The sequence below is a fragment of the Homo sapiens genome, chromosome 6 (assembly GCF_000001405.40).
Source record: "Homo sapiens chromosome 6, GRCh38.p14 Primary Assembly".
Lineage (NCBI taxonomy): Eukaryota > Metazoa > Chordata > Mammalia > Primates > Hominidae > Homo > Homo sapiens.
The window spans coordinates 44,332,326-44,353,514 of record NC_000006.12 but is presented as its reverse complement, the minus strand read 5'-3'; the positions used below and the strand labels follow the sequence as shown (position 1 = coordinate 44,353,514).

General features: G+C 44.8%; 1 protein-coding gene across 2 annotated transcripts in view; it reads right to left on the bottom strand.

Annotated features, from left to right (window-relative positions):
- The window catches only part of SPATS1 (spermatogenesis associated serine rich 1), a 37,530-nt gene extending 26,665 nt beyond the window's left edge, over window positions 1-10,865 (bottom strand). The window contains exons 1-3 of one of the 2 annotated variants that reach the window (NM_001372081.1): window positions 10,747-10,865; window positions 10,281-10,419; window positions 642-789 (exon numbers count right to left, since the gene is read on the bottom strand). In NM_001372081.1, coding sequence (NP_001359010.1) covers window positions 642-789; window positions 10,281-10,419 — 287 coding nt within the window. In that variant the 5' untranslated portion in view covers window positions 10,747-10,865. The remainder of the gene's footprint in view (window positions 1-641; window positions 790-10,280; window positions 10,420-10,746) is intronic. The other variant, NM_145026.4, reaches the window with a different exon arrangement.

Below are 21,189 nucleotides of genomic sequence, written 5' to 3'. Positions count from 1 at the left end.
CTTTAAGAGGCCAAGAAGGGAAGATTGCTTGAGCCCAGGAGTTTGAGGTTAAAGTGAGCCAAGATAACACCACTCTACTCCAGCCTGGGTGACAGAGAGAGACCCCTGTCTCTATCCAAACAAAAGAAACAAAACATTGCCAGTCCTTCCCTTCCCCACTCCCCAGAAACCATCTGTGTGGGTCCCTTTCCGGGAAAAGTAACCACTACCCTAATTGTGACTCTTACGATAATCATTTATTTGCTTTTCTTTAAGTTTTACCACCCATGTATGTATGTACATATCCCAAAAATATATAGTTTCACTTATTTTTGAACTTCGTAATAGCAAGCACTTACACAGAACTTGCTGTGTGCCAGGAAGTCTTCTAAGCTCTTTCCAGCTATTAACTCAATTAATCCTCACAACAATCCTATAAGCTATCATCAGCATTTTACAGATAAGAACACTGAAGCCCAGGGAGGTGAAGTAATTTGCTCAGATTCACACAGATACTAAGTGGCAGAACCGGGATTTGAACCCACACAGTCTAGCTCCAGAATCCATGCTCTTGCCAAGCATACCATGCTACCTCTCAGACTATTGGCTTCTTGGTCAGAATCTCCCCAACCGTGACAGCTCTGCACCAGACCCTTACTTACTCTACGTAAGCAGACACTCTGGGGAGGCCAGGAGGCTCACTGACACTTGGGCCTGTTTCCACAGAAGATGAGGAACTGACACTTTTGCCAGAGGGTGTTGTGTTGGCAAAACATCCCTTAGATTCCAGAAAATCACTGCAATTAGCACCTGTAACACAGAGATATCACCATTTAATTACATTATTGAAAATACATTCCACCCTATTTTGTTTCCTAGATTATAAATAAATTTTTAAAACAGCTAACATTTATTGAACATTTACTGTGCACTGAGGATTATGTCAACACCTTTACACATATTATTCCATTTATCCCTATAACAACCCACAGGCTTAGGTATTCCTTATTATCCCCATTTTATGGTTGAGAAAACTGAGGCTGAGAAGGCTAAGAAACTTGCCTATGATTGCATAAAAAGTAAACATCTAGGCCCGGCGTGGTGGCTCATGCCTGTAATCTCAGCACTTTGGGAGGCCAAGGTGGGTGGATCAGATAAGATCCACCCTGACTTGAGGTCAGGAGTTCGAGACCAACCTGGCCAACATGGTGAAACCCCGTCTCTACAAAAAACAAAAACTAGCTGGTCATGGTGGCACACTCTTGTAATCCCAGCTATTTGGGAGGCTGAGGTGGGAGGCTTGCTTGAACCCAGGAGGCAGAGGTTGCAGTGAGCCGAGATCACATGACTGCACTCCAGCCTGGGCAACAGAGACTCTGTCTCAGAAAAACAAAAAAGAAAAAAGAAAACATCTAGGCCCATATTTGATTACAGCTCTTGTGACACTAAAGCCTGAGATTCTAAGCCCTGTACTAGACTGCTTGCCCCTACATATAGTTCACCTACTCTGAACTAAGTGGAAGACCTAGGATCTGAAGTGAGCTATATAGCACTGTACATTGTATTAAGCATCTCAATATAATTTTCCAAAGGATTTGTTTATAAAAAGACTGATGAATATAATGCTGATCACAACCCAAAGAATGCCCTCAGAAACTTCTGTGGGTTCCCCTCACAGTTCTTATTCATCTTAGTAGAATCCATAACAGTGCCTGGCACAAAGCAGGTGCTCAATAAATGTTTGAGTGAATAAATGAAAAAGAATTATAACTCCCCAACCACCCACAGTTACAAGTAAGGGAGTCCTGAAAACCAGTGAGTGTCAGACATAGAAGAATATCCATTATCTTCACTCTGCTATACTATTAATACTTCATGAAAGCCAATTTGTTCTGTTATCATCTCATACAGTTATGTACCTCATCCAGCCACAAAAATAAAAAGTCCGATGAAAAGATTATGCATATTTCTTTATGCATAATTTCGTAGAGCACTAAAGCTCAATAGATGGCAATGTAACCTCTGGTTATGAGAAAATTGTAAGAAATAAGAGTCAAACTCTGATTCTTGAGTACATTTTTAGACTGACTACTATTCCACCTACACAGTATCATGCTTCACACATATAGAGTCATCTTTTGGTATCGACGGGGGATTGGTTCCAGGACCCCCGCAATACAAAAATTACAAAAATCCAAAGATGCTCAAATCGTTTATATGAAACAGTGTAGTATTCGAATATAACATATGCACATCCTCCTGTATGCTGTACTGTAAATCATCTCTAGATTACTTGTAATACCTAATACAATGCAAATGCTATGTAAATAGTTGTTATATACTTATTTGTATTATTTTTGTTGTTATATTGTTGTTTTCTTTTCTTTTTTCTTTTTTTTTTTTTTTTTTTTTTGACACAGAGTCTCACTCTGTCACCCAGGCTGGAGTTCAGTGGTGTGATCTCAGCTCACTGCCACCTCCGCCTCTGGGTTCAGGTGATTCTCCTGCCTCAGCCTCATGAGTAGCTGGTATTACAGGCACTCGCCACCATGCCTGGCTAATTTTTGTATTTTTAGTAGAGACAAGGTTTCACCATGTTGGCCAGGCTGGTCTCAAACTCCTGGCCTCAAGCAATCCACCTGCCTCAGCCTCCTAAAGTGTTGGGATTACAGGTGTAAGCCACGACACCCAGACTTGTTGTTTCCTTTTTGAATATTTACTATGGGCAGTTGGTCGAATCTGCCAATGCAGAACCCGTTGATATGACTGTATAGTGTAAACTATGCAAATTCCCACCATCTATCAGCAGGACTGCTACTCAGAGAATTTTTTATTCATTTCCTCTCAAATTCATATCACAAGTGAATAATACCTTTTCCATTCTTATCAAGTCCCGATCTATCACCAAACCTTTCACTCCTAAGAGGACTTTGCCTGTTACTCTACAAAGCTTAAAGTTCAGCTGAGCTACTCCCTCCCTTCAAAATCCTCCCACTCTGGGGCTTCTCAGGACATGGCGCAAGGCCTATCTGCATCAGAATTACCCAGGAAGCCTGTTAAAAATACAGATTCTCAAATTCCATCGCAGACCTATTGAATTAGAATCTCTCCAAGTGAGGCCTGGGAACCTGCATTTTAAATAAGCCCCCACCCTCACCCCTGCTCTTCATTTAGGCTCACGTTTGGCAGTAATCTCCTTCTTGAAGTCTAGTTCCATCACTGCACTGTATTTTATCCAGTTCCACTTCCAGATTCCCAACTGCACAGAACTTCCTGAATTTGCCCAGTCACGAGAATCCCCTTGGGGTACTTGTTCAATATGCAGGCCCCAGGGCTCTGACTCAGACCTACAGTCTGGGAGCCAGGATATTTAAGAAGCACCTCAGGTGATTCTTAGGGTCAGCCAAGTGTGGGAAGTGCTGCTCTGGAATATGCCCTAGAGCCTAGAGCAGCCCCCAGCACAGTGAGGTCCAACTGGTTGCTTGAGGTGTAACTGGGATGGAGTCAAGCCCAGGGGAGGTGGCAGGCAAGCAGCAGGTGAGGATGAGGAGACGGGTCCCCAGTAACCAAAGGAAGAACCACCCATATACCAAGCCACAAAACAAGTATCAACAATACATAGACCACACTCTCTGACCACAATGCAATACAATTAGAAATCAATAATAAAAAGACAGCCAAAAAGTATCCATAAGCTTGGAAACTCAAACCACACTTCTAAATAATTCACATACAAGAAGAAATTGTAATGGAAATCATGAGTTGCTTAATGATCAATGAACATTGAGTACTATATATCAAAACTTGTGGGATTCAACTAAAGCAGTAATTAGAAATCTGGGGCCTTGAATGCATATGCTGTATTTCACTGAATATAAGGCACCATCAATTGTAATAGCATCGTTATTTTATGTATCACAAAGAACAAAGGCTGCCAATTAAAGTATGATACATGCTTTTATCACTTAGAATTTTTATTTTATACTTATTGATGCATTCTTTTAATTTATTTATAGATTTTAATCACATATCACTCATGCACATATATAAAGAAGGAAAATATAAGCACAATAGACTGGTTAAGGCATTCCTAAATCTTATGCACATTCAGAAATCTGACTACTAAACCACTTTCAACTCAATCACTATTGTCCACACTTTCCACCTAATACTGACCTAATATTTCAATAAAAATGTGAGTTGAGTGATGCAGCATTTCTTTCTTTTTTTTTTTTTTTTTTTTTTTTGAGCCAGAGTCGCCCAGGCTGGAGTGCAATGGCATAATCTCGGCTCACTGCAACCTCCAACTCCAGGGTTCAAGCAATTCTCCTGCCTCAGCCTCCCGAGTAGCTGGGATTACAGGTGCATGCCACCACACCCAGCTTATTTATTTATTCATTTCTTGGAGACAGAGTCTCGCTCTGTCCCCCCGGCTGGAGTGCAGTAGTGCAATCTCAGCTCACTGCAACCTCCGCCTCTTGGGTTCAAGCGATTCTCCTGTCTCAGCCTCCCGAGTAGCTGGGATTACAGGTGCCCACCATCATGCCTGGCTAATTTTTGTATTTTTAGTAGAGACGGGGTTTCACCATGTTGGCCAAGCTGGTCTCAAACGCCACACCTCAGGTCACCCACCCATCTCAGCCTCCCAAAGTGCTGGGATTACAGGCGCAGTGGCGCCAGGACCAATTTTTGTATTTTTAGTAGAGATGAGGTTTCAACATATTGGCCAGGCTGGTCTCTTAGCCAGGCTGGTCTCGAACTCCTGACCTCATGATCTGCCTGCCTTGGCCTCCCAAAGTGCTGGTATTACAGGCGTGAGCCACCGCGCAAAAGTGCTTCTCTACTGTCTCTGGAGTTTTTTCCAAGCTATGAACACACGTTCTACATGCTTCAGTGCTCATACAGCAAAAATTATTACAACTACATCCTACCTGCTGCTGGGCCCACAGACCTGGTAACATCCAGTCCCTACTTCAAAGATGCAAACTGTCTATCCAAGAATTGATGGATTATAGTGTTCAAAATCAAAAATTCCAAAATGAATGAGCCAAGTTGTCAATTTAAGAAATAAGAAAAAAAAAAGAGTAACCCCTCTCCCCCCGAAAAGATTTTAAGGAATAAAATCATAAAAGCAGAAATGAATGAAATAAAGATTATCAGAACTATGGCTTCATGCAAAAGCTGATAATGCAGATAAACAAGGTTCAAGAAAAAATTTTAAACACAAATAAATAATATTAGAGCCTGGACTGTAATCCCAGCACTTTGGGAGGCCAAGGCAGGTGGATCACCTGAGGTCAGGAGTTCAAGACTGCCTGGCCCAACATGGTGAAACTCCGTCTCTACCAAAAATACAAAAATCAGCCGGGCATGGTGGTGCACGCCTGTAATCCCCGTTACTCAGGAGGCTGAGGCAGGAGAATCGCTTGATCCCAGGAGGCGGGGGTTACAGTGACCTGAGATCATGCCACACTGCACTACAGCCTGAGCAACAGAGTGAGACTCCATCCCAAAAAAAAAACAAAAATAATAATAATAATAGAAATGAAACAAGGCCATAATTATAAATAAAATAGAGATAAATTTACAGATAAAGAAATTAAGCTCCAGAAATGTCAAATAACTTGTTCAGGGTTACATAGCCATGGAGTATAATTTATAAAATGTAGTCTAATGTTCAAATAATCAAGACAGTACTGACAAAAACCCTAACAGACAAATCAATAGAACAAAATAGTAAACATAAATAGAATAAAATTGTATATGAAAACAAGTGGCATTTTATCTTGGTGAAGAAAGGATGGGTTATTCAAAAAATATTGCTGGAACAACTAATTAACCATTTGGAATAAAAATAAAATTAATCCTTTCTTATCCCAAACTGGAAAATCCAGATGACTCACAGATTTGAATGTAAAAATTGAAATTAAAGATGTACCCGAAAAAAGTAAGTGAAAGTTTATATAATCTTAGAGTGAAGAAGTTATTGCCAAGAAGATACCAAATACAGGCAAAATAAAGGAAAAGAGGCATAGATTTGAATATGCCTCTTTAAATATAAACTTAAAACTTTCATAGCAAACTATAAACTGGGGGAAAATCTATAACAACATGATAGAAAGAAAAAAGAGTGAGTAGTCATGACAAATTATGAGCTTTTTTTTTATACTTTAAGTTCTGAGGTACATGTGTAAAACGTACAGGTTTGTTACATAGTTATACACATGCCACGGTAGTTTGCTGCACCCATCAACCCGTCGTCTACATTAGGTATTTCTCCTAATGCTATCCTTCTCCCCTCCCCCAACCCCACGACAGGCCCCAGTGTGTGATATTCCCCTCCCTGTGTCCATGTGTTCTCATTGTTCAACTCCCACTTATAAGTAAGAACATGCAGTGTTTGGTTTTCCATTTTTGCGTTAGTTTGGTGAGAATGAGGGTTTCCAGCTTCATCTATGTCCCTGCAAAGGACATGAACTCATCCTTTTTTATGGCTGCATAGTATTCCATGGTGTATATGTGCCACGTTTTCTCTATCCAGTCTATCATTGATGGACATTTGGGTTGGTTCCAAGTCTTTGCTATGTGAACAGTGCCGCAATAAACATACGTGTACATGTGTCTTTACAGTAGAATGATTTATAATCCTTTGGGTACATACCCAGTAATGGGATTGCTGGGTCAAATGGTATTTCTAGTTCTAGATCCTTGAGGAATTGCCACACTGTCTTCCACAATGGTTGAACTAATTTACACTCCTTGAGCTTTTATAAATTTATAAGATGAAAATAAATATCCAAAAAGAAAAAAAAAGGGCAAAAGATGTGATCAGGTAACTTATTTTTAAAAACAGGCTGGACAAGGTGGCTTATGCCTGCAATCTCAGCACTTCGGGAGGCTGCGGCAGGTAGACTGCTTGAAGCTAGGAGTTCAAGACCAGCCTAGGCAACATATGGAGACCTGGTCTCTACAAAAAACTAAAAAGTTAGCTGGGCGTGGTGTTGCACACCTGTGGTCCCAGCTACTTGAGAGGCTGACATGAGGACTGCTTGAGCTGGAGAGGTCGAGTCTGCAGTGAGCCCTGATCATACCACTGCACTCCAACCTGGGTGACAGAGTGAGACCCCATCTCAGAATAAGATAAAATAAAATAACACATACATATAGCCAATATGTATTTGGGGGAAATTTCATCCATCCTAATAATTGGGTTTGGGGGAGTGGGTGGTTATTTTGTGGGTTTGTTTTTTTTTTTGAGACAGGGTCTTGTTCTGTCACCCAGGCTGGAGTGATCTCGGTTCACTGCAACCTCTGCCCCTAGGACTCAAGTGATGCTCCCACCCCAGCCTCCCAAGTAGCTGGGACCATGGGCACACACCAGCATGTCCAGCTATTTTTTTGTTGTTGTTGTATTTTTTGTAGAGATGGGGTCTCACCATGTTGCCCAGGCTGCTCTCAAACTCCTGAGCTCAAGTGATCCACCCACCTCAAAAGTGCTGGGATTACAGGCATGAGACACTGTACGTGGCCCCATCCAAATAATTGAAGAACCGAATTTAAAATGAGATGCCATTATTTGTTATCCGTTTGCAAACACCCAGGTGTTTGGCACAGCTTGGAGGAATGGCATTCCTATCATTGCTGGTGGGAATGTCCCCATCTTACTGAAGAGCAATTTGGCCATATGTGACTTCCGAAGCCTATGAGAAGTGCATGTCATTTGACTCAATAGTTCTACATCTAGAAATGTATCTATGAAAAAGCCATGAAATGCATGTTTGGAGATGTAGAATGGATTCACATATGTGAATGAAATGAAATCAAGGCCAAAGATGTCCTCTATGTCAATAATTGCATGTGAGTTCTGAGGTATTTACAGTAAGATTTACTTATGGTAATTTTTGGCCATAGGTTTTAACAGTGGCTGCCTTTCATAGCATGTAAACATTTTAGTTGTATATTGCCACTATAGGACTTGAGAGTTCACCCAAGCAAGAATTGGTTGGCTCTATGGATGGTATCAGAGAGGGTCCTTTCCCAAGCTTTTTGTTTGTGTTAGGAACAAAATGTAAATGTACTGCATTTCCCTAAGCAGCGAGCAGTGAAACACACCTAAAACTTTAGCACACTTCCTTGCTTGCTTGAAAAGTTTTGTGGCAGCAGCACTCTAGAAAGTGGCCTGTGGCCACTATAATGGGGAAAGCTTGTCTGATGGACAAGGATGGGAAGAGCAATCTCTTGCTAAACTGGCAAACAGCACACTCTCTAGATCAAGCTGACTACGGCATCTTCCTGAGAGTAACTCAACCTCAAACTTGAGCTGGAGACACTTAAACATGTTCTCAAGATGCCTCCCCGCCCCTCCCCTGGTAAAAGAAGATTAGCTGGAAGAGAAGCTGGAATTGCAAGCCTGAACACTTACTAATACTGACGCTAATACTAATACTGATGCTCCCACTGCATAGAGTACCATCCAGCTACTCTGAGCAAGTCAATTACTTCTCCACGCCCAGCTCCCAGTGGCTGCCCTCTCCCCCATCTAGCTCAGAAGGCTGTGGGGAGACAAACACACTAAGGAGATACACCCTGCTTGAAAGTTTCACCATTTATCATGAAAATTGTTATTCAAGCGCAATAAATGTCAAGTAAGCCAGAAGTCAGAAAATTCTAACAAGTTTCTAAAACACTGCAAAATTAAGAAGAAATGATGTAATTAAAGGCCAAGAGAAGGTTCTGGTAACCAGAAAGGAATTCAAGGGAAAAAAGAGAATTTGGAAGAAAGTCTGTTTCTTTATTGCCATCTGTGGAATTCAGGATAATTATTTCCATTTTTTTAGGCAGGAATAACACCTTACATAACCAAAGCACTTTCATATGTTTGTCATCTCAGCTGATTGTCATAATAGCTCTGTCTGGCAGGGAGAAAAATAATACATCAAGCCATGTTTGTTTAACATGGATACTCATTTAACCAAACACTATTTCCCACCCCTGCTTATCTGCTTCACAAGGGGCCTAAGGATCAAGGACAGAAGTTTTTAACCCGTTTTTTGATTCTATCCTCTCCCCCATGAGCAGTAATGAAAGCAATCGGTTCTCTGATGGAAAAATGCACACACACACACACACACACACACACACACACGTATCTTCAATTGGTTTGTGGAGCCCCTTCCTTGCTGAAATCCATAGACTCCATGTTAAGCTAAACTCAGATGTATTCTCCTGAATAGACTCACCTACACAGCAGGAAAGGACACCATGGGTCTTTCATTAATGTGGTCTGGGACCTGGTACCCTTCTGCTACCCCTAACTCGAAAACATGGATCCTCCCTAGGACATCCTTAAAACAGCAGCTTCTTCCTTTACCCCAAACTGGAAACTGCAGGAAGGTCTGGAGCTTAAAGTTAGAATCCCAGAACCCTTTTCTCCTTGCTGTTGCAGACACACTTGGACAATTAATAGCTCTAACTCCTCCAGCTCCTCCTTCTCTACGGTCCTAGCTTATATTAATAGCTGGGTGGAATGAGTTGTACCTCCCTCCTTTCTCCCCACTGTGAAGGAGAATGAGGAGATCACACACCCAGAATACAGAAGACCAGGGAGAAAGCTAAGATCTGATCCCGCAAAGTCTGGATATTTCACAACCCCTTTTTGCAGCACTCAGGCCACTCACCCATAACAGGTAAATGAGAACTTGAGCGCAGGCGCACTCTGAGCTTTTCTGGGAGACTGTGGCTGTTCAGCGCCATGACACTGTTCTCCAAAGGCAAACGTGCCCCCAAATACCCTCCTCGGCCTTAACCAATTATGGAGCTACCAGCCATTATTTAATTTTTAGAGTGTTCATAATTCTCACCTGAACTGTCCCATCCAATAAACAATGACACAAACCTACTAATATCTGAGCAAAGGAAAGATGAAAGGACACAGGCTCGAAAGTATGGCAGACTCATGTCAAATCCCAGGCTCATGTCAAATCCCAGGCTCACCTTTTATTAACCCAAGCACTGGGCAGGTCAAATCTCTGGCTCCCTTTACTCATAGGTAATATACTTCTCCACTGCTGTGAGATCCAGTGAGGTAATTTATGAGACTCTCTGCTTTGGTGGTGCTCTCTGCCTAATCAAATCTTGGGTTAGCACAAACATAAGCTACTATTCAAGCAGCTCTTTTTACATGCCCCCAAACTAGCTTCCTTCTAAACTTCAAATGGTGCCCCCCACCTGCCCCCGCCCCCGGGTGTAGTATACTTGGATGTGGCCACCAACTCCACAGCCTGGATTTCTTAGAACTCAACTGTAGGTCCTCTCCACCTCGGTCATGCCAGAGTCCCTTTTTTCTGGAACCTTCTCCAGCTGTCTGCCGCAGGTCGTGCTTGAGATGGAGGGGAGACGGCAGCCCCGTGGACTGTTTCCAGTGAGCATGGATGGACTCATCTGTGCCCATGATGATTTTAAATATTAGAAGCAACCCAGAGACAAAGAAAGTCCCTCGTAAGAAAGGTATCAGTCAAAACAAACAAATTCCACAAGCCACCGAAAGTCAGGAGGGCAGGACTGGCCTCTAAACGGGAGCCTTACTCCCTCCACCTGGGCGTTTCGTGGTTTGGAAGCCCTGGGAGCCCCAGCGAGTCCGCCCCCAGCCCGAACCAGGCTCGCTGCAGCCCCCATCCAGCTCAAGGTGCTCCTTCTTTTCCACCTCGGGGTCTTCCCACCCCCTTCCCCAGGGGAGGCCCGGGTCTGTGCTCAGAGGCCTCCACGGACCAACGAACCAACTGGCAACTGAACTGCCGAACGCACGCCGCACGCCGAGGCCTGAGAACCGAGAGCCTAGGGCAAAAGGGACACCGCAGCCGCCTGCTTCTCCCACAGAGGCGCGTTCCGGGGTTGCCGGGACACCGGCTCCAGTAACGCGGCGCGCAGCGTCCTGCCTGGCTCGGCTGCCGGCCCCCCTGTCTGTCACCCCCCGGCTCTCTGGCCATTGGTACAGGATGGAGGCTCCTGAGAGGTACGGAGCAAGGAGCTCCAGCCATGGCCCGGCGTCACAGGCAAGGACCGCTGCAAAAGCCACTTTGTGATTTTGGACTTTTTTTTTTTTTTTAAGAGTTGTGGTTCTTTTCCAGGCAATTTTCATTATTAGAACTGTAGGCTCTGGTAGCAGTGAAAGATGCGCCCTCCACAAAGCTTGCAGATGCCTGGTTATAATTGGCGTTGATTAGACAGGATCCACCTACCACTTACAGAGCGCCTTTTCTGGGCCAGGCGCCCTGGTGGATATTATCTTCCTTAAACAGCCAGCTGCGTTTTTCAAAATAGAAAACCAAATTTTAGCAAAGGCTTGCGCAAGGTCACCCAGAAAACAGATTCATTTCTAAGTTTCCTCATTCCAAATCCACCACTCTTTCCATCATATTGACTTAAATTTGTCTTCCTCATCCTTTCCAGTATCTAATAAATCTTGCATAGAAAGCTTTTCTCCAAGTCTAGTTTAAGTCCCTAAATTCGTGTTTAGACCAAGTTTTCCCTTCTTTTGTTACTGATTATAAGAGAAATAAATGGTCATTATAGAAATATTGGAAAATATGGAAAAGTATTATTAATATCCATGATCTCACCATACAGAAGTTAAATACTTTTTTCCTGGATAGCTATTGCTATATAACAAATCACCCTCAAACTCTGTTGTTTTAAACAACAACATTCATTTTTAATTTCTGATCCTGGTCGTTGGCTAGGCTAAGCTAGGCTGTTCATGCTTGGGGTCTCTCACAGGGTCTCAGTCAGAGGTCACAGAGGAGCTTCCTCACTCATGTGTCTGGTGATTGATGCTGGTTGTCAGTTGAGGTCAGCAGGGTTAGCGCCAGTTCACCCATGTGTGGCGTTTCCATGTGCTTTCTCACACCAGTGTCTGAGTTTCCAACGTGAGCATCCCAGGAGGACCAGGCAGAAGTTGTATTGCCTCCATAGTCACAAATGCATGGAGAGGGAACTTAGATCACACCTCTCCATCATGGTCATACTGTATGAAGAGCACAGGGGACAGGGGATCTTGTGGCCCTCCTAGAAAATACAATCTCCCCTACTGATATTTAGGGGTTATTCCTTGTCCTTTTTCTATGCACATGTATGTCATATACCCCTAGTGATTTACACCCCTGCTGATATTTAGGGGCTCCTTCCTCTCTACCCTTTTTCTGTGCACAAATATGTTAACATATTATAGATAGATAGATAGATAGATAGATAGATAGATAGATAGATAGATATAGATATAGATATCTCTTGTATTGGGCTTTTAAAATTTAAGATTATAGTTGATGGCTGGGGCTGTGGCTCACGCCCATAATCCCATAATCCCAGCACTTTGGGAGGCCGAGGTGGGTGGATCACTTGAGATCAGGAGTTCAAGACCAGCCTGGCCGTCATGATGAAACCCGTCTCTACTAAAAATACAAAAAAAAAAAAATTAGCCAGGCGTGGTGGCAGGCACCTGTAATCCCAGTTATTTGGGGTGCTGAAGGAGAACTGCTTGAACCCGGGGGGCAGAGGTTGCAGTGAACTGAGATCATGCCACTGCACTCCATCCTGGACAAGAGAGTGAGACTCCATCTCAAAAAAAAAAAAAAAAAGTTGGCCCTCCATATCTGAGGGTTTTGGATCCACAGATATGACCAACTACAGATTAAAAATATTCAAAAAATATATAAAAATTTAAAATAATACAGATAAAAACAGCAAAGTATAGCAACAATTTACATAGCATTTACATTGCTTTAGGTATTATAAATAATCTAGGGATGATTTGAAGTACCGTACAGGAGGATTTGCATAAGTTATATGCAAATACTATGCCATTTTGTAAAAGGGACTTGAACATCCTTGATATGCTCAAGATTTTGGTGTGGGAGGGGAGTCCTAGAACAAATCCCCCAGGGATACAGAAGGATGGCTGCATATCCTGAGCATTTCCCCTTATTGAAGTTAAAAAAACATGTTATCTCTTTATCCCACGGTAGGAGAGGTAACAGTTATTTAATAGAAATGTTAGCTGGGCAACAGCATAGTTAGTTATTAATGGCTTGACTCAAGAGGCTGCCTCACCAGGAAGGCAGAGATTTTTGTCTATTTTGTCCACTGCTGTATGCCAAGCAACTAGCACAGTGCCTGGCACATATAAATGCTCAATAACCATTTATTTAATGAATGAATAAATGAGTGAGTGGGTGGGTGGGTGGATGGATGATTACAATGGTCTGAGCTGAGCCCCTCCCTCTCTTGCTTGCATCCTCCTAGGAGGAAAGAGTCCAGGTTTCTAACCTGAACCACCAGGTTCCAAGACATCAAGATCTATCTGTTGGTCAGGTGATTTTGCAAGGCAGGCGAGTGAATCACAGAAGGGAAACTTTCTCATCCTTAGTGAGTCCTGTGAACTGTGACTCACAAGCCTTCCCTTACTCTGCAGCTTAAAACCTCCCAGGCCACCTTGCCCTCACTCCTTGGGCAAGTTTTAGATGCCTGTCGCACCAGGCCTGCCCTGGCAGCTGTGCCCAAGGTTTGGCGAGGCACTGGAGCCAGCTAAAGTGTTCTCAAGGCCGTGGAGCTGCCTCTGATCAGCTTGGCCCCAACGCACAGCCAGTGTTTTCCCAGGATTGGCACCTGAAGCTTCCTGTGCACAGCAGCCCCACAACCAGAGTTCAGCAGCAGAGGCGAGGGGAGGATGCTAGATGTCCCCAGAAGACTGAGGTTCCTGAAGGTCCCAGAAAATCTTGCCTGTATAGCCGGGAGGGTGAGCACAGTTGGGCAAGAAGAAGGCCTTCCTCAGTGTTCCCTTGCCGTCCCCTGTCTGAGCACCCCAAACCAAGCCCAGCCTGGAGGTTACTGCAGCACCTGTGCAGGAACATGGAGGCCTGATGCAGGGAGGGGCGGTGGTCCCAGGTCCTTAAGGTCAACTCAACTGTTTCTCCAGCTTTAGGGCCCTCCTTTCAGCTTTACAGTCCGGGATCCTGATGTTCCACAAGCCTGGCTCTCCTGGGTCTGAATGAGCTCAGGAAACCTGGGGCTCCAGGCCAACACAAACACGCACAGGGTTTACGTGTGAAGTTTTCCACTGAACTATATAAAATTTCTGGTTATGTAGGTGAAACATAGTTGCATATCAGCAAATTTATGTTATTCAACTTAATCATGAAGGACAAATACTTCTAGCAGGTTTCATGGTGAGGCCAGAGGAGGGTGGGCTGAACTTTAACCCCCTCCCTTCCCCTTTGCTCCTTCTCCCTGAAGGACCCCACTTCGCTTTCAGTAGCTGGGAGCTTGTCTCTGGGAAGGAATGATAGACAGTGAGGCGGGGGTGGAAGCAGGGGGCCAGGCACTGGATAGGAACCGTTGGTTCTGGTTCTCCCCTGGCTCCCCCAACCCCAGACCCTTGAGAGCAGCTGGGGCAGCCATAAGAATCAAGAGCCCAGAGATTAGAGGAAACCAGACAGCAGAGGGAGAAAGATAAACTCAAATAAACTCTACCCCATTCCTCTTGAGTCTTGGCAGGACAAAAAGTGCCTGCTGGAGAAAGAAACTTGAGCCTAGAAGGATGGTATTATTTAATTGCCTAGGGTCAGAGACATTGGTAAAAAAAAAAAAAAAGCCTCGAGTTTGGTAAGCCTCAAGAGCTACAAGCTAAACTGGGTGAGGAGGGCGTCTTAAACACCACTTCTCCTCGAAAGAGCACTGCAGGCTGTCCCTATAGGGGAGCCTCTCTTCCCCAATGTCAAGGAAAGGTCACCCAGCAGAAGCCCTCATTTAACGCGCGTGTCCCATAAGTGTGCACCAGAGGGCAGTATAAACCCAGGTATGGAAAACGGGATGCGCTCATAGATTGTCTACAGTTGACTTCAAGTAAGGGGCATCACAGAGCCTTGTATAAAGACAGCGCTAGGGAAATAGGTGTTGAGTGGATTACTGACACACGGCCACCGTCAGAACCCTTCAATGGTAGGCAGAAGAAGCCTGGCAAAGATAGGGGAGAGAGAGCATTTGCTACCTCAGAACTGACTAACATGGCCAGCTCCCAAATAGCCAGAGGGCCTCCCCATCAGTTCAGGCCAGGAAACAATGACCAGACACCTGCTATGTTCCAGGCACTGTGCTAGGTACAAGAATTTAAAGGTGAGTAAAACACAGTCCTTTCCCTGACTGAGTTCCCCTGATAGCTTTGCCCATCTCTTTACATTTGTTTATCTCATTTAATCCCAACCACAGTGAAGTGCTAGTAGAATCATCCTCTGTTTACAAATGAGGAAAGACAGACTCAGAAGGCAGAAGTAACTCATCCCACCACCGTAACTGGCAAAGCTGGAGTTTAAATCCAGTCTCTTTAGATTCAGAGCCTAAGCTTTCACCACTGTGCCAGAGCCTTCTTATATGTGCCCTCAGCAATGAGCAGGTCCGTTTGTCATCTCAGTACTGGCCAGGCTGTCAGGGCTACATCCTAGGCTGCCAGACCGCCTGGGAGAGGCCTGGGAGGACGCTTGTCCCAGAAACACAAAAGTCCCTTTGGACTTGGATTTCTGAGTAACATAAATCAATGACTAAGATTTTAAAATGTGTGTAACCTATGTAATATATAAAACAGACATGCAGAGTAAGGACAGCAGCTTCTGTGAGTGGAATGCCTATACTCTACAGAACAGGAAAGGAAAAGGCTGAATTACGTGAGGTTGAAGTGGAATTCCTTCAATATGAGGTTTAACCCAATATGGACTAGGAAGTCACTGCAGATCTCTCATCAGAGGAATGATGAGGCAAAAATGGCATATGCTGCCCATCCTTGTATCCCTCCCAGGTCCACTCCCACTGTCTCCACCTTGTTTTGTGCCTGCCTGGGAGGTTGGCCTATGTGGACTGCACCCCCCAAATCCCATAGAGGCACCCCCAAATCCCATAGAGGAAGGCAGGGAGGGAAGTGAAGTCAGGGTATTTACCCCTCAACCCCTAGCTCCTGTCCTGTTGGCCTCAGTTGTCTATGCCCCTCCCCTTAGGGCCACGGCCCCTGTCAGGGGTGGGCTCCACACAGCTCTCTTTGGGGACTACTGACTGCTTCCTTCCCTGGACCTTGCAGGCCTAGGAATAGAAGTGACTCCCAGCTGTTACAGCCCTGAGGCATTGCCCCATTCCCTGCTGCTTTTCCTAAACCCCACCTTCACCTCTGTAAATAGTGCCTTTATTATACCCTGCAGTTACTCAGCTGGAGGGTGCCATTTCTTTCTTAGTAGAACCCTAGAGCTCTAGGGAGATTAGTCTGATGAGGTGGGAAGGCTGCTGTCTGAGGAAGAGGGCCAGGCAGAAGGCACTTAATGGATATGAGAAGCCAACCAAACAGAGGAGGCAAAGACAACCCCAAGACTTACGGCCTGAGGACACCAAGTCTTGGAAAAATAGATCTAATTTTACATGGGTCTCTGTGTGAACTGGAGAGGAAAGAGGGTTAGCAAAAGAAATGGTTAAGCTGGTTTCAGCTAGGCTGAGAGTGGGAGATGTTGGCCTACCAACAGGAAGTTGAATGAACTTTTTCTGGTGCCTGAAATTGGTACCTGGGGCTCCAAGTTGGAGACGAAGAGGCATTAAATAATCCATATTCTAAAGAGAACGAACATTCATCCACAGAAGGCCAGACTATTACTGGAGCCTATTAAGAGGCTGCCAAATCTCTGAACATTGCTGAATATTTGTTACTTTTGCAGAAAAAATAAGCAAATAAATGTTATTGTGGTCTTCAACCCAGCCAATACTGTGAAAATAAGCATTATGACGTTATAAGAACAAGCGCAGTCTTCAGAATCAAACTTCCCGAGCGCAAATCTTGCCACTCCTGCTTACCAGCTGTCCACTCTAGGTAAGTTATTCAGCCCCTGTGAGCCTCAGTTTCCTCATCTGTAAACGGAGATCATAATAGTACTTCCCTCATAAGGTTGAGAGGATTCATGAATAAATACATGTCACTTAGAATGACAGGCACATGGTAGGAAGTCAATAACTGTGTGCTTTTGTTATGAAGAGCAATTCCTTCTATGACTGATTTATATAATAAAGAAGTACAAACACTCAACTCTGATGCAAGAGGACCTGTACAGTATTTGGCTTGTTCTCTTGGGGAAGAGTGGAGGAGAGAAACCAATAGAAGAAATTTCATTCTTGCAAGTTGTTAAAGAGCTAAAGGTTCTTGGGGAAGAAGTGAGATCATCTCCTTACCGTGCTCATCATGAACTCTGAGAGGAGGGTGGCTACATCCTCCTGCATCTTCACTCAGATTTGAACCAGGACCAGGGACAGACTGAAACCCTCCAGAAGGGCCAGCTTTTAGAAGACAATGGGGAAGACTGCCTCCTGAGAGAGACGGGCTTCTCCACACAAACTCTAAGAAAAATGCAAAAATGGCTAGGTAGGGAGCTCATTGGCCTTGGAAATTCTCCCCTAAAAAAAAGAGTGCAAGGCAGAACTAGGGCAAGATTCTATGGTAGGTTAGGAAAAGAAATGCAAGTTAGCATGGCAGGATCTTCCTGGTTTAAAAAGCCCCAGCTGTTGTTTTGTTGAAGGTCATATGATCCATTTCACAAACCACAGGTGCAGCAGAGGGGTCACCTAGCTCATGGTGGAATTGCCAACTATAAAATAGCATTTCCACAGCCCAAGCTGGTGGCAAGAGGTAGCATGCTGCTGAGCTCTGCCATCTGCTCTTTCAGGTCCACCTCCACTTTTCTTTCCCCCTACAAGCATAAGAATAGACAGATTTCCCGAGAAACAGAGAAAGGGGAAAGAAAACAAAAGCCAGCAGGTTGGCTGATGTGGGCTGAGGAACAAATGGTGGAAGTCAGATTTCTGCTCAGGGTATTGCCAAGGAGAGATCTGTAAGAAATGGACATGTCTTGTTTTTCTGAGCCTAGATATTTCTTAAAAGTAGAAGGCCGAGTGCAGTGGCTCACGCCTGTAATCCCAGCACTTTGGGAGGCCAAGGCGGGTGGGTCACCTGAGGTCAGGAGATCAAGACCATCCTGGCCAACATCATGAAACCCCGTCTCTACTAAAAATACAAAAAATTAGCTGGATGTGGTGGTGCGTGCCTGTAATCCCAGCTACTCAGGAGGCTGAGTGCGACAGTCTATTTGCTGGGACTTCGACTTTTTTTTTAGACGGAGCCTCACTCTGTCGCCAGGCTGAAGTGCAGTGGTGCAATCTCTGCTCACTGCAACCTCTGCTACCTAGGTTCAAGCGATTCTCATGCCTCAGCCTCCCGAGTAGCTGGGATTACAGGCACGCACCACCACATCCAGCTAATTTTTTGTATTTTTAGTAGAGATGGGGTTTCACCATGTTGGCCAGGATGGTCTTGATCTCCTGACCTCAGGTGATCTGCTCGCCTCGGCCTCTCAAAGTGCTGGGATTACAGGCGTGAGCCACTGCGCTCGGCCTTCTACTTTTAAGAAATATCTAGGCTCAGAAAAACAAGACATATCCATTTCTTACTGAACGCCAGATATCAGTCTCATTACAAAATGGCAGCATAAGTTGTGCATGGTAGCACATACCTGTAGGCCCAGCTACTCAGGAGGCTAAGGCAGGAAGATCACTTGAGCCCAAGAGTTCAAGGCCAGCTTGGGCAACATAGCAAGACCCCAACTCAAAAAAAGAAAAAAGAAAAGAAATGGTGACATAGCTATTGATGCTAATTAATGGTGGGCTTCACTCTGTGCCAGGCATTGTGTCAGAGGCTCCCCGCATTAACTCTTTGTAACAGTCCTGTGGGGATAGGTACTGTTATTATCCCCATTACCCCCTAGCCTGCGTTTGGAGAGATTAAGTAGCTTCCTCAAGGTCACAGGACCTTTCAGAGCCCTGCTCACACCAACATGGCCTGGAAGTTCTGCTTCGGAGGGCTGGTTCCCTGTACTAATGACTGTGTAGAGTTAGGGAGCTCCCAGCTAGTGATGCCAATACCCATTCAGCAGCGTTCTCCTTAGATCTCACATGCCCCACCTTTCCATTATTGTTCCATTGACATAGCATGACTATAAGCCCAGGTTGACCCCATAACTGGAAATCCTGACCCTGTTAGGAGTCAAACTTCTACTCTCTGGAAGCCTCCTGGATATTGGCAACACTGAACAAAGATACCAGAAAGGCCCAGTACTCTGCAGAGGCACAGAGGAGGGGTGTGTGGGGAGGGGGGCTGCCACTCCATCCAGGCTCTGTTGGGCTGCAGTGCAGTATTCCTTTCCTCCATCCTCTCCACCTTGTTCCTGCAGGCCCTTCCCCACATGCTGTCTGCTCAGATCCCACCATCACTTCCGTATCGACTCACACATCAGCCACCTACTTCACTTGCCCTTTTACTCTTGGCTTCTGTATTTTGGCCTTTGTATTACTCAGCTATTGCAAAAATAATGTTGTGTAACAAACTACCTCAAACTCAGTGTCCTACAACAACGAACACCTATTTTGCTCACTCACGAGTCTGGAGGTCAGCTAGCATCAATCTGCTTCAGGCTAGACCTGGTCAGCTAAGCCTGGCTTCAGACTGCAGCTCAGATCCAGGTTCGCTCCCTGGGATTTATCTCATTCCCTAGGGATCAGCAGCAGCTCCCTAAGGCCTGTTCTTCTCATGTCAAATGGCATAGCACACGATGGGTGGGTGAAAACACATCATGTCTCTTGAGGCCTGTGTCTGAATTGCTGCACTGCCACTTTTGCTCATATTCTGTTGGCCAAAGCAGGTCACATGGGAAAACTCAAAATCAGTGAGGTGAACACATAGACTCCATCTGCACACGTGGGAGATAATGCAAAGTCACGTGGCGCAGAGAGTGGCTGTATTGTTCTAACACAGGGAGGCTGTGATGAGTGGAGGACGATTATTGAGTCCTGTGAATTTCATCCATCCTCAACGTTCCTCCAAGACACCCATGAGGTCAGGAAGCCCTTGGTTCTTGTTACTTTGCAAATGGAGGGAAAACGCCTTCCTCTTCAGTCTTCTGCAGCTCCAGAGAGGAACTTGTGGTCCACATTTATGACGACTGGACTGCTCGCTGGTTCGTTGTGGGCTTTGGAGGGAGACAGGCCCAGCTGCAGGACTGGCCATTTCCTCCAAACCAAATGTCATCGTGATTTCCAGGCTCTGGAGTGAGAAGTGGACATGTTCTCCCAGCACACTTCAATCTTGTCAAATTTCCATTCTGCTCTTTCATTTTCCAGAAATACTCTAAAACAGATGTGCCTTTCTCTCACATGAAAAAGGCCTTTAAAAGCCCCAGATGTTCCTTATTCAGCTAAACAGGATTCAGGAGATTATTCAGCTAAAACAGATTTAGGAGAAGGGGTAATGGCAGGAAAGAAGCAGAACTGCGTAATTAACACTTTTTCTTTTTCCAAACAGAGGCTGTTTTGAATACAAAACCTACCTATTTAGGAAGAAATCTTTCAGAGGAGATGAAGAGGAAAAATTCAGAAATCATCACTAGTAGAAGCAGCATCCTTCAAACATAGCTTCCATTTGTTCTGAGAGATGGTGTTCACAGCACCACTGGGCTCTTAACCGAATCCACTTAAGTGGAAGGAATCCACTTATTACTGTGACGGGCAAGAGGAGTTAACTGTGAAGCTGGCAGCTCCTCCTGCTCACACTGGAGACTGCGGTCCGACATGGAAACATTAGCTGCATCACAGTTTCTCACAGTAATGACAGGAAATGAGAGAAAAATCCCTGTGCACAGTCTTCAAGGCAGCGTAGCTGGCTGGGGACCGTCATCACATGGCTTAACACTAATACACTTAGGCCAAATAAAGAGAAACAGGAGGCACATGATGTCAGGTGCTCAGGGTCACAGCTAGTGACTCATGACCACATATAACGTATCTGGAATAGTCAGATTGATGGAGGCAGAAAGTAGAATGGTGGGTGCCAGGGGCCGTGGGGAGGGGAATGGGGACTTCATGTTTAATGAGTACAGAGCTTCAGTCGAGGTGATGAAAAAGTTCTGGAGATGGATAGCAGTGATGACTACACAACAGTGTGAGTGTACTCAATGCCACTGAATTGTACACTTAAAATTGTTAAAATGGGGCCAGGAGTGGTGGCTCATGCCTGTAATCCCAGCTACTCAGGAGGCTTCGGCAGGGAGAAATGCTTGAACCCAGGAGGCGGAGGTTGCAGTGAGCCGA